General features: G+C 43.3%; 2 annotated features.

The window, feature by feature from the left end:
* Positions 149 to 1,348: an enhancer, noted in NCBI's record as "P300/CBP strongly-dependent group 1 enhancer chr6:164008464-164009663 (GRCh37/hg19 assembly coordinates)". NCBI's record gives its function as "activates an origin of replication core promoter dependent on BRD2, BRD4, P300/CBP, MED14 and CDK7 cofactors, with strong dependence on P300/CBP, by STARR-seq in HCT116 cells {active_cell/tissue: HCT116}" and the evidence as "EXISTENCE:reporter gene assay evidence [ECO:0000049][PMID:35650434]".
* Positions 5,189 to 5,737: an enhancer, noted in NCBI's record as "OCT4-NANOG hESC enhancer chr6:164013504-164014052 (GRCh37/hg19 assembly coordinates)". NCBI's record gives its function as "activates a minimal SCP1, AML or CMV promoter by ChIP-STARR-seq in primed H9 embryonic stem cells {active_cell/tissue: H9 hESC(primed)}" and the evidence as "EXISTENCE:reporter gene assay evidence [ECO:0000049][PMID:30033119]".

Here is a 14,414-nt window from a genome sequence, read left to right on the forward strand (position 1 = left end):
TTGTGAAACACTCAGAATTTCCAATTAGAAAGGCACATATTTAAGGTGCTGCATAAATTTTCTCATGTATCCATATTTCTCTGTCAGCATAACGCAGGCTCTCTGGAATATGGCTGCTTTCTCACTCTGGAGATTTTAGACAGGTAACTTCAACCTGAAACCTCAGGTCTCTCATCTATAAAATGGGGATAAAGTACCTATGTCACAGGGCTCCTAAGAGGGTCAACTGAGCTAATTAACGTAAACCTCTTAGCACATTGCCTGGAACTGGTGTGTGTTCAGTGAGTATGTGTCATTATTTTCCTCTATTGTTTCCTGTTGCTAAATTAAGAATGTGTATTTAGTCAAGGCACGGTGGTTCACGCCTGTAATCCAGCACTTCGGGAGACTGAGGCGGGTGGATCACTTGAGGTCAGGAGTTTGAGACCAGCCTGGCCAACATGGTGAAACCCAGTCTCTACTAAAAATACAAAAATTAGCTAGGCATGGTGGCATGCACCAGGAATCCCAGCTACTGAGGAGGCTGAGGCAGGAGAATTGGTTGAACCCAGGAGGTGGAGGTTGCAATGGGCCAACATCGTGCCACTGCACTCCAGCCTGGATGACAGAGTGAGACACTGTCTTAAAAAAAAGGGGGGGCGTATTTAATCTACCTGGAGTCATTGGGAAGTGAGTCATTTCCTGTCCTCTTTATAGCCTTGAAGATTTCATATGTCTTCTTAAGAAACTCATGTACTTTGGGGTGCCCATGTTACATGGTGAGTAAGATATTTTACACATTTTTGTACGATTAAAATAATGTGTGTACTTTATAAATAAGCTGTAGTTTTCCAGCAAAATCTAGCTAAACTCCTACCACAAATGTAACAGGCATATAAAATTGTGATTACCTAAAAAGTCACTACTATGCAATGATATTTAAACCTTATATGTCCTCATATTAAATTCTGCTTTGTACATTGAACTGCAGTTTATGTGACCTGAATATTTATTTCAAAGATAAACAGTACCTACACATTGCTCCAAGGGTTAGATTAGGGTGTTTATTCCCAGGCATTTTTTTCTGTTGTATTCGGATGAGACACAGACACGTCAGACAATTTCATCAGTAATGAACAGGAAACACACCAGATGCCAGCCTCGTGCCAAAGACTCCAACTGATCACCAAGGAACATCTGCCAAAATGCTTTTTAAACTCTTGGAGCACAGCTGTGTCTGTGCGCCCTGCTCCCTCGGTTAAGCTTCCGCTGGCATGACCTGCAATGACCGGCGGGTCCTGATGTGCTTTTTCCCTGATGGTAAAACTTTTGAAAGTTTTTTCTTATGTCCCTGTGTCCCTGCGAAGCCCTTGAGTCAGGCCACCTGCAAGGGAAAACCTTGACCGATTCACAAGGACACATTCGTCGCTTTCTCAGGACGTGACTGGCGCCACCCTTATTCTCTACGGTCACACTGGTGTGCGGCCCACAGAGAGCCCTCTCTTGAGAAATGGGCACGATGACTTAGAAGGCTTGGCGGGCCACTCGTCCCTTTAAATTGAGGGCGCATGTAGAGTAAGCAATCTCATCTGAACGCCACCCGCTTGGCAGGCTTTTCCTCACCCCCTTATTGTAAGGCACCTTTTGCTTTACTATTTCCCCGGGGCGCAGGCCGGGATGCAGACAGAGGCTGGCTGTAGTCTTTGAAAGCACCATTGACTTGGTTTCGGGGGCGACCGCACACAGGGCACCAAGACCCTGTTGAAGGGATTAGGTCTTAGGTTGCCTTGTGCCCACAGTTTTGCTTTGCAAGGAGTCTAGCGCCTCTGAAGAATGTGACAGAAAATGTAGTACTAACAATAATACTCCCTGGAATTGCACATGGGCCTGCTTCTTTAACAGAAGAGAAAGGAGTAAGGATGAGGAGAGAGCCAAGGAGTAAGGGTGAACAGAAGACAAGAATTGAGATTTGGCCCCTGGGAGAGTCAGAGGAGAATTCAGTGAGAAGACTGGGAAGATGAATAGACCAAACAAACAATCCTCCTAACTGGGCAGCTGGAGGAAAATAAGGAGGAGGTAAAATTGCTGGTGTCAGTTTTTTTACACGTAAACTTACATTCTTGGGCTTTATATAGTATACTTTTTTAGTTGAACGAATGCTATAAATACGCATTTTTTTGTTTGAGTAGATTAGAATGCTTGTCACAAAGAGCCTTGTAATTGGCATTGTAGAAGCTTTCTGGGCTCCTGACTCTAAAAGAAGAATTGGCACAGGAGTGGAATTGCGGTGTGGAGGAGGGCTGCTTGTATGAACAGGAAACCATGGTGGAAGTTGTTCAGATGAATGACGTGCTGAGGTTGGAAATCCCATTTCTAAAATAATGGAGGTGTGATAGTCATGCCATAGGTCAGCTGACTAGAATAACAAAATTGAGTTGAGAATAAAGCTGAGAAAACTATTGAAAATCAGCCACGGAGTTGTGCTGGGCAACCTCATGTTTTACTCAGGATCTTAGGAAGTCTTTGCATGACCCAGGATTTAAAAGCATTCATGCAGTTAAAGGACTGCTTGTCGTGAAGAAACCTCAGGGACAAGAAAGGAATGAGCTTCAGTCTGAAGCCGGCATGAACGTAGGCTGGAAAAGAGATCACTACAGTCACAATTGCCAGGTGCGTCACCAGAGGCTGTTTCCATGTGACGTTCTTGCCACAATTTAGAATTAAATTTAATATCTTCTCCTCCCCTGTAGTGGGTGTGCCCTCAAAGCTCCAAAAATGGTTGAACCCAACAAGCCCAGCACTGAGCTGTCTCTCCATCTAGACTCCCTTCCCCTCAGCTATTTCCCCCCTCACCTTCCATTCGCTGGCCAAGGTGGAACCCTGGAAGTCAGCCTTGCCCCCGCATCCCAGCTGCCCTCCCTCTGCTCTGTTGAGAGGTGAGGCCAGCTGGACTTCCTGGGTTGAGTGGGGACTTGGGGAACTTTTCTGTCTTACAAGAGGATTGTAAAATGCACCAATCAGGAACTTTCCTGTCTTACAAGAGGATTGTAAAACGCACCAATCAGCATAAAACACACTAATTAGACTAAAACACACCAATCAGTGCTCTGTAAAACGCACCAATCAGCAGGATTCTAAAAGTAGCCAATCGCAGGGAGGATTGAAAGAAAGGGCACTCTGATAGGACAGAAACCAAACATGGGCGGGGACAATAAGGAAATAAAAGCTGGCCACCTCGACCGGCGGCAGTAAGCCGCTAGGGTTCTCTTCGAAAGCCTTTCACTCTTCACAGTAAATCTTGCTACCGCTTACTCTTTGGGTCCGTGCCATCTTTGAGAGCTGTAACACTCACCGGGAAGGTCGGCGACTCCGTTCTTGAAGTCAGCACCACCACGAATCCACTGGCAGGAACCAACTCCGGACACACTGTGGTTTTCCCTGTTGTTGGCCTTTGGGCCTCCCTGTTCTCCACCAGCGCAGCCTGGAATCTCCACAGCCCCCGGGGCTCTACTTCCTGCAGCCTCAGCTGCTCCTTCACACGGTGGAATCCCCGCCAGACTCATCAGGGCTTAGGCCTGGGCCTTCCCACTCCCGCCTCTGCTTTCTTTTTGAGTCTGGAGCCTAGAAAGAGCCTGTGTTTTGGATGATCCTCCTTCCTGCAAGGCCCCAACATGCCATTTCCCCAGCCCCGTCGGGGGCAAACGTTGGTACTGAAGGTGCCGTCCTGTGCTTGAAGCGGCGTTCTTCCAGATGGTCCTGGGGAACACACTCTTTTTCCACAAAGGCCCTTCAGCGGCGCCTTGTCCACCCATCCCCTCTATAGTCCCCTCTATTCCGACTTCTCCAGCCACTCCTGCCCTGCGCATCTCCCCAAACGCCCCGCCTTTATGTGATGGTATGCTCTTCTCCAAATCACCTCGACATAGCAAAAGCACTCCACAGAGACCAACTGTTCCTATCATTGCCCCCCAAAACATACTCTTGGAGGGCTTCAATCAACCGGAGACACGGCCATTTTACCAGAGAATCCCGGCAACGCCCCCAACATCCTCCCTGCCTGTCTCTCCGTCGTCATCTCTCCCCACCTACCCTGCCCTTCACCCTCTAAGCTCGAGTCGTGTATAAATTATTGTTGCACAAACTTTTTTTTTTGAGTTGCAGCCGAAGTCTTGATCTGTCGCCCAGGCTGGAGTGCAGTGGCGCGATCTCGGCTCACTGCAAGCTCTGCCTCCCGGGTTCACGCTATTCTCCTACCTCAGCCTCCCGAGTAGCTGGGACTGCAGGCGCCGCCACCATGCCCGGCTAATTTTGTATATTTAGTAGAGATGGGGTTTCAACATTGTTGGCCAGGATGGTATTTTCATAGGTAAGTTAAACAGAATCCTTTCCATATATCAATTCTAATAATTTGTTAAAGAAAAAAAAATTTTTTTTTTTTTGAGACAGAGTCTCACTCTGTCACCCAGGCTGGAGTGCAGTGGCACGATATCAGCTCACTGCAACCTCCACCTCCTGGGTCCTGCCTCAGCCTCCCGAGTAGCTGGGATTACAGGCGCGCGCCACCACGCCTGGTTAATTTTTGTATTTTTAGTAGAGACGGGGTTTCACCACGTTGGTCAGGCTGGTCTCGAACTCCTGACCTCGTGATCCACCCACCTCGGCCTCCCAAAGTGCTAGGATTACAGGCGTGAGCCCGCCCGGCCACAAACATTCTTTTCTACCCCCAGGCTTTCAGCATGTCACCTAATTCCTCCCAAAACCACTGTTTGCTCCCTCTTTTTGCCTGCCTAACTGATCCTTGTTTTTCGGCACTTAATTGGAAAGTCTTGTCTGAACTGCCAAATGGGTTAGTTGCCTCTTCAAGTACCTCATGGCTCCAATGAAGCACTCTGGGAATGTTTGCAGCACTTTTCTTACTCCTCTGTTGCCTGTCCTCATGTCTCTCTCCCCTACCTTGTCATGACGTCTTCGAGATGGGAGCTGTGGGTTATTTCATCTTCATGTCTCAGCCCTCAGAATGGGTTCTGACACTTCGAAGGTCATTAATAAATGTTTGTTCTAAAAATGAATGAGTGGCTTCTGTTTAGAGTAACATGGCACACTGGGTACCCAGAATATGTTCCCATTGAAAACAGCAAAAAATGTGGGATAAAATATATTGTCAGTTTTGTTGGATAAAATATATTGTCGGTTTTTAAAAAAGCATTAACAAAAGAGTAAGAAATCCTCTGGCTAAAATTTAGATGAAGTCATGAACGCAGAGGAATAACTGTGGTACTGAGACTGGTTTTTGCTAAGGAGGTATTAGCCAACCTATGTAGCGTGCTTCAATTTTTATCATTTTTTGAGGCACGGAATACAGTAGTCAATACCTGGGGTCAAGCCAAGGTGGGGTTCCAGTAAGAGGCCTTCACCCCATAGCACTGGGACTCCTCAGAATAATAGCAAATTAGAAGGGACTTGCCCACCCACAGAGATACACAAAGGACTGCCAGGAAAGTGCCTGTTTGCAGCCTTCAGTCCGAATGGTAGAGGGAGAAAAAAGAAAGCAAACAATGAAGAGTTTAACCACAGCTGCCTTTATACCAATTAGTAGCCAGAATTCAAACCACCTTGCTGGACTAAAAAATAATCTCAAGCCAAAGATTTAAGGAGGTACCTTACTAACACCTTTCAGAAACAAACACAAATCTGCTCTGGAAAAAAATCCTTCTTCATCCCGGGCCTCGGAATATATTAACAAATACAGTTTCAGGACAAATGGCATCTGGCAATCAGAGTGAATCAACAAACAACAAGGAAATAAGGCACCATGAGTGAAAACTAGAATGTGTGTGGATATGACTACAGATACAGATACAGATACAGATACAGAAGCAGATACAGAAGCAGATATATAGATTCAGCAGAAGTAGAGTCACAAAGATTTCAATTATGAGAAGTATCAGACACCGATATAAAATTACTGTGTTTAATAAATTTAATGAAATAAAAGACAAGCTTGAAAATATGTATGGAGAACAAGAAACTATTAAAAAAACACATATAAATAACACAAACAGAATGTCTATTAATGAAAAATGTAAGAATTGAAAGGAAAATCCCAATGTATGGGTTTTGTGGAAGATTAGATACAGCTAAAGAAAGAATTGTCCAGATGTAGCACAGATAAATAGGTAGACAACATGAATGAGAGATTTAAAAATATGAGGATAGACTAACTTCCGATATACACCTAGTCAGGGTTCTGGAAGGAAAAAGAAATCATTAGGCAAAGCCAATAAGTAGACAGTGACTGAGAAGTTTCCAGAACTAATGAAAAACACCAAATATGGTTTCAAGAAGATCAGTGAATAAAAGGAAATCCACATCTAGACTATCAAACTAAATGTTATAATAAACCAAACTATTTCAAGAATACCTAAAAAATACATTTTCAGATGAACCAAAAGTAAGAGAGCTTGCCAACAGACCCATGCTAAAGAAAATAATGGGCCGGGCGCGGTGGCTCAAGCCTGTAATCCCAGCACTTTGGGAGGCCGAGGTGGGCGGATCCTGAGGTCAGGAGATTGAGACCTTCCTGGCTAACACGGTGAAACCCCGCCTCTACTAAAAATACAAAAAATTAGCCGGGGCGTGGTGGCGGGCGCCTGTAGTCCCAGCTACTTGAGAGGCTGAGGCAGGAGAATGGCGTGAACCCGGGAGGCGGAGCTTGCAGTGAGCCGAGGTCACGCCACTGCACTCCAGTCTGGGCGACTGAGCAAGACTCCGTCTCAAAAAAAAAAAAAAAAAAAGGGGCCGGGCGCGGTGGCTCACGCCTGTAATCCCAGCACTTTGGGAGGCCGAGGCGGGCGGATCACGAGGTCAGGAGATCGAGACCATCCTGGCTAACACGGTGAAACCCCGTCTCTACTAAAAATACAAAAAATTAGCCGGGAGTGGTGGCGGGCGCCTGTAGTCCCAGCTACTCGGGAGGCTGCGGCAGGAGAATGGCGTGAACCCGGGAAGCGGAGCTTGCAGTGAGCCGAGATCGCGCCACTGCACTCCAGCCTGGGCGACAGAGCGAGACTCCGTCTCAAAAAAAAAAAAAAAAAGAAGGAAAATAATGTTGTTCAGACAAGTGATCCTTGATGAGACATCTGATGTGCAAACAGAAGTAAAGATCACAAACAGTTGTAAATATATTTTGGTCGTATAAAAAATATTTGGGGGTTTACCAAAAGCAAGATAAAATTAAATACCCAATAATAGTGCATACATTAGACAGGGGGGAATGGAATTAAGATATTGAATCGGCCGGGTGCAGTGGCTCACGCCTGTAATCCCAGCACTTTGGGAGGCCGAGGCGGGCAGATCACGAGTTCAGGAGATCAAGACCATCCTGGCTAACACAGTGAAACCCCGTCTCTACTAAAAATACAAAAAATTAGCCAGGTGTGGTGGTGGGCGCCTGTAGTCCCAGCTACTCGGGAGGCTGAGGCAGGAGAATGGTGTGAACCCGGGAGGCAGAGCTTGCAGTGAGCCAAGATCGTGCCACTGCACTCCAGCCTGGGCAACAGCAAGACTCTGTCTCAAAAAACAAAAACAAACAAACAAAGATATTGAATCATTCAGATTAGACTGGTTTATTCTCCAGTAACAAGCAGTCTTGAAGTGTCAGTGACTGAACACAGGGAAGCTTTATTTTCCCTTGTACTGCATGGCCCATGCAGGTTGGTGCAGTGCTCATTTAATCAAACGACACCCAACGACCCAGGGTGACAGTTCATCTCAACACATCTTTCTGAGCTCATCATGGCAAAGGGAAAAGAATAAGATGAATTAATTCATTGGCTCTTAAACACATATGACTTCCTTCACCTCTTATTGGCCAAAGCATGTCACATGGCCATATCTAAATTCAAGACATCCAGGTGAGGAAGGACAATCCTGCCATGAGACCAAAAGGAAGAGCACTGGACTATTTATGAACACCTCTAATGATAAGTTCTTGTGTTTCTTGGGAACAGGATAACAGGATTTCTCCAAAGAGGATTTGTGTTTATTTCTGTAAACATGATAGGACATGATAAGTCAACCACAATTAGAATAATTACAGTGTATAACCTCCATTCTTGAGGAAAGAAAAAAATAGGATGAGAAAAATTTTCATCAATCCAAATAAGACAAAAAATTAGAGAGAAATAAAAAGCCAGGAAAAATAAGAAGCGCAAAGTAAGGTAGTACATATAAATGCAAACATATTAGTTATAACAAATTTAAGTGAACTAAAAGCTCTAGATAAAACACAAAAAACTTAGACTGGACTTTTAAAAAATCTAACTATATGTTGTTTATAAGAAACATATCCAGGCCAGGCATGGTGGCTCATGCCTGTAATTCCAGCACTTCCGGAGGCCGAAGTGGGCAGATCACTTGAGGTCAGGAGTTCAAGACCAACTTGGTCAACATGGTGAAACCCTGTCTCTACTAAAAATACAAAAATTAGCTGGGTGTAGTGGTGCACACCTGTAATCCCAGCTACTCGGGAGGCTGAGGCAAGAGAATCACTTGAACCTGGGAGGTGGAGGTTGCAGTGAGCCAAGATTGCACTACTGCACTCCAGCCTGGGCAACAGAGCCAGGCTCCATCTCAAAAAAAAAAAAAAAAAAAAAAAAAAATCCAAAAGACCAAGATATAAAAAGATTTAAAGTTAGAGGATGGAAAAAATTACCAGCAAAATTATAAGCAAAAGAAAGCAGAATTTCTAAATTAAGATGGAGTTAAGACAAAAAGTTACTGGAGATAATGATAGAAAGTTTAATTTGTCAATATTTAACTACTTTAAAATTTGAGGCAGTTACATAAAACAAAAAATTATCAGAACTCTAAGGAGAATTAAGCCAAACCACTTTCAGTGTGAGAAATTTTAATGTAATTTTCTAATAATTAATAAAACGTACACAAAATAAATAGTGATAAAAAGAGAAGATAGAATATTTAAACAATATGATTAAAACTATTGACCTGTATTACCTGTTTAGAACACTGCTCAGCAACTGCTAGATACACATTAACTTTACACTGTGTCAGAGCAAGTCTTCAAAAGGACTGAAATAATTTAGACTATGTTCTCTGTCCACAGTCCTATTAAGCTAAAAATCACTAACAAATGTATAACTAGAAATCCCTCATAAGTTGGGAAACTAAAAAACAAACACACTACTGAGGTCATGGGTCAAATAAGGAATCATAATGAAAATTAAACCTATTTTGAACTGATCGGTAGTAGAAGTACTGTATATTAAAATGTGTATGAAATAATGAAAGCTGTAAATAGAGTGTAAGTTATAACTTTGGATATTTATGTTACAAAACAAGAGAGGCCAAATGACAGAGCTAGGTTCTGGTGGGAATGTGGTGGCAGCCACATCTTCATGTTTCTCCTCCTAAAACCATACAGAGAAACAAGGAAAATGTATGAAAACACTAATAATATACACCTTTCTGAAAGACTAGAAGATAGAGGAAACCTGCAAACTTCATAGCATCAGTAAATTTTGGGTAAAAAAAATCCCACCACCGCCAGAAATAATCAATACAGATAGCCATTATGGTGGGGGCAGAAAATAAGTGGGTATTCCCAGAGGCTTAATGGAGACACAACCCAGAAAACATCAGCAAATATTTATCCCAGAAGAAGACACCAACTTGAATGGAAATTCTGCTGGCAGGTCTGAGAATGAATAGGACAACAGATGAGTACTAGGAGAGAGGGAAGAAAAAAGTATGGAAACTGCATGGAATCAAGGGTCCTTAGACTAACGAAATTGTCATTCTAGCAACAAATGAAGTAACTCTTTAACTGAGAGACCAAGAAAAGTAGCCCTGTAGTGAATTTACATTCTCCTATTAAGAGCCAGCCCAGTGAAATCCAACTCACAAAAATATGAATTTTACAAGTAAAAATTCTGCATCTGTAGATACTATAAGAAAAAGAAAATTAAAGCTTCTTGGCAGACTGGAAGAAAATCAACACCAAAAAAGCAACAAATTCACAAAAAGAGGATGATTGACATATAATATTCCAAAACGAATTTTTAAAGAAAAAACATCGTGTGAAGCAACTGCACCTCTGGAAGAACATCATGAGAAATAGCACTGAAAAAATTCAGAGAAGAGATGATTGGAACTCTGGAAAAAATCTGAAGAAAAATTCAAAATCATTTCATATTGCAAAGTGCACAAGGGAGACTAGATATCACGGAAACAAGAGTAAGGGACAGAACAGATAGAAATGAGAAAAGTCTAAAAAATGGGGAAGAATAGATTAAAGGAATTCGAGGAAAAAAATGATAGACTAAATATAAGCAAGAGAGATCTAACATTTGTATAATTGACATGCCCAAAGATATAAAACAATGAAATAGAACAGATGTTTAAAACTATAATTCAGGAACACTTCCCTAAAGATTTTTTAATTGAGGAGAGTGAACTTAACATTCATATGGAAGAGATACACGCTTGAGAATGTTTAAGAAAAAGAATAGTAAGAGAGGGCTTGACCTAACAACTAGTGAAATTAGCAAGCCACTGTATTCAAATCAGAGTGGGAACTGCATAAGAAGAGACACTTTATCAGTGAAACAGCTAGAGGGTCCAGAAATAGATCTCAATTATATAAGAATTTAATACGTGACAAAGTACTGTTTTAATTCAGTGGGCAAAGAGGATATTATTTAATACAAATTCTGGCATTGCCAGCCATCTGTTTGTAAGAAAGTAGAAGTAAATAAAATATATAAGACCTGATATCACACACACCAAAAATTCTGGGTGAATTAGAAATTAAATTATAAAAGTAAAAAGAACAATCAAATCTCTCAAGAAAAACTAGGTACTACATTTACAGTCTAGGGGTGAGAGATATTCCTATCTGGCAACCTTGAAACAATAATAGACTTATGTGAATACATAGAAATTAGAAACATTTATATGGGAAAATAACATAAAAATGAACAGAAACACAGAAAAATATAAGCATTATGGAGAAAGGGGTTTGAGCTCTATAATAAACAGAAGAGTCTGAATAATTGGCAAGAAGGGCATAAACCCTCAATAAAAAAGTGGGTAAGAGATTTGCAGAGGCAATTGGCAAAGGATTGAATTCAAAAGGCCAAGTCAAAAGTATGAAAATGCAAAACAAAACAAAAGCACAGTGACAGTCTGGTCCCATGATATTTTTTTCTCAACCATCAAAGAGTTGGCAAAAGAGAGAAACAGAAAGAGAGAGAGAGAGAGAGCACATGAGAGAGAGGCTGCTGCTGTGAGGCTGTATGGATATGGATTATTTACTGGAAGAGTCCCACTCTTGAGAATTGGGCCCATGGAAACTAGAGCATCAATTCGTAAGCATATTTGTACAAGGATATTTATCACAACATTTTTCATAGTGGCAAAGTCTAATGAATGTTCAGAATAAGAAAATCATTGAATAATTTATGGTACAACCACTTGGAAATTTAGGCAGCAGTTACAAAAAGAATGAATTGGAATTATAACAGGTGAGTTAAAGGGATTTTTATCAGATTTGTTGAGTGTGGAAAACCAAGATTCAGAAAACTCTCTATAATGTGATCTCGCTTTGATTAAAAAAATAACCAAACCTTCATTATATATGTATAAGTATATGCACATCATAAATATGTTTACATATGAACATGGAGAAAAATATTTAAAAATGTATAATAGATTGTTGGCATCATATGGTGGAGATGGCCATGTCTACTGGTCCCCAGAACTCCACTTGCCACACTGGTTTCCTTGCCATCTGAACCTGAACATCAAACCCATGCCACATTTTAAAGTTTTTTGTGTATCCACTTCCAGATAACAATTTCTGTATTGGTTGGGTAACACAAACTGCTATAAAATTGACCAAGAGATCTAATGGCTCCAATTAGGTAGGAGTTTATTTCTTGCTGACATAACTGTCAAAGGCACATGTTCAAGGTTCACTAATTCTGGGAAATAGATCATGAGAGACCTGGTGACCTGTATGCTGTGGTGAAACATTTGTAAACTATTCTTGCAGGAACTTGGAAGGTGGACCACAGGCCTACCCAGCCTGGAGCTCCAGGAAAAGCAACTGGCAAATACCAGAATTTGGGTGTGTGTGGTCTACTCTTGGCTGCTTTTAGCAAGATATTAAAAGAAAGAGGGAGCTCAGAAAAGAATGGCCTGGTGAGTAGGAAGAGGTGGAGTGGAGCAAAGGGAGTATAGAGATTTGGGGGCCAGACCAGATGGAACGGCCACTGCTTCTGTACCCCAAACAGCAGGTGATAAGACGATGCCCATTGCTCAAAACCTTTCCAAATGACGTCTTGCTAAGAAAAAAAAGGAGGGGAATCCATCCTTGTAGAAAAGCTTGTTGTAAAGATGGAAATGAGGCAGGAGACCAGCAGGATTTGTTTTCTGGTCACAACCCTGCTGACCAAATCAGAACCTGGTCCACACAGGATAAAGTGAAGAAACCGACAGGAAGCAGCAAATGGCTAACAAGGTGATCCCTAGCTGCCCTCACTGCTCATTGGCATAAGATACCACCACCAGCACCATGACAGTTTACAAATGCCATGGCAGTGACCCAGAAGTCATGCCCCTTTCCATGGCAGCTATCCAAAAGTTTCTGAACATTTCCAAGGCAATGACCTGGAAGTCACTGCCCCTTTCCTAGAAAGTTCTACATAACCTGCCCCTCACTTTACATTGACCCGCTCCTTAATTTGCATGTAATTAAAGTGGGTTTACATGGGTATAAGTACAGCTGCCTATAGCCCATATGCTGCTGACTCTGGGGGCGCTGCATATGAGTTAGCCAGCTCTCAAAGCAGCAGTGCAGTTCAATCAAAGATCTCCTTCTTCCCTGGGTACAGCCAAGAGCCCTCCCAGGCTAAACCCCGGTTGTGAGGCTCACCTGTCCTGTCTGCGAAGGGTGTCGCCCATTATTTCAGTTGGCCTCAGTTTAGCTGTTATTACACTGAGAGAAGGGCAGGTGCACAAGGAAGGAAAAAGTACAGGATCAAAGCTTACTTAAGAACTACAAATAGGTGAAGCTTTGGGTGTAGTTCTCAGCACATGGAGTGGTCTAAAAGCAAATGCACTAGAAGCCTCCGAAGAGTCTGGGAGAATTACATTGTCAAAGGAACCTCAAGCCTGGCCTGTGCTGAGTGGGTGTGCAGGGATCTGTGCCAATCTGAGCCTCAGGAGGATGCATGGCATTCCAAGCTTGTCCCAACACCACGTGGACTGTGTGAGCGCCGTGCCCCAGGGAGGACACACTCCTGAGGACAAGGCTTCCCATAGGAGAAAGTGGACCAGGAATTTCCTCCCAGAGGGAAAAACTGAGGTCAAATCAAGGCACATTCCCTCAGCCAGGACAGTTGTTATCACGGTTCCTTCCCAGCTGGACCCCTTGTTGCTATGGACCAGTGACAGCCATTGGTTCCTCTTTCCTCCCTTTCCGCATGAGAATTTCTACTGCAGTTACCTGTGTCTGCTCCAGCACATGTTAGGTGTATGTGTGGGAGGCCTAAGTATTGCCTTTTAGTTTCTGGATCACCAGACAATGAATGATGTCCATGCCTGAGGAGGAGGATGAAGTCACCGGGTGTCCTCTGCGCTGAGCTCGACCTAGTTCCTGAATGTGACCTAGACATAGGGCTGTCTGCTTTGGGAAGGGCAGTCAGGGCCATCTACATGTGGACGAAGGGAGTGCACACAACGAACTGATGGCTGGGATGTGGAAGTCCAGGTGGGAACAGCGTTCTATAGCCTCCCCATCCCCCACCCCCATCAACAGCTAAGTGTGTTTCCTCGACTCAGCTCCCTCCAGTGCGATGTGAGGGAAAGGGTGATGCACAATCCCCGCCTCATGTTCATGGGCTTCTGCTCATCCCCTCTCCAGGCTGAAATGGTGATGATGAGCATGGCCTTAGAGAACACGCATAGAAGACAGCAGAGCCTCCATCACTGGGTCCCCAAATAACTGTGCTGAGGAGAGCCATCTGCCCATTGAGACACCTGCACTGAGTTAGTTGCACAAGGCGCACACCTCCATCTAGTTTGAGCCATCATAATTTTTTTTAGATATGACAGCTGGTATAACCCTGACAATACACGTAGTTTACTGGGGGAGGGATAGTGTGACTTATGAGACGGTGTGTTTGTTTCTTATGGTTGCTGTACCAAAGTACGACGCATTCAGTGGCTTAAAGTGACACAAATCTGCTTTTAGTTCTGGAGGTCAGAAATCTACAATGATTTCACAGGACTGAGTTCCTTCCAGAGGCTCTGGGGGAGAATCTGTCTCCTCGCTTTCTCCAGGATTTCGAGGCTGCCACACTCCTTGGTTCATGGCCTCTTCCTCCATGTTCAAAGCCAGTATGTGGCCTCTC

The sequence above is a fragment of the Homo sapiens genome, chromosome 6, assembly GCF_000001405.40.
Source record: "Homo sapiens chromosome 6, GRCh38.p14 Primary Assembly".
NCBI lineage: Eukaryota > Metazoa > Chordata > Mammalia > Primates > Hominidae > Homo > Homo sapiens.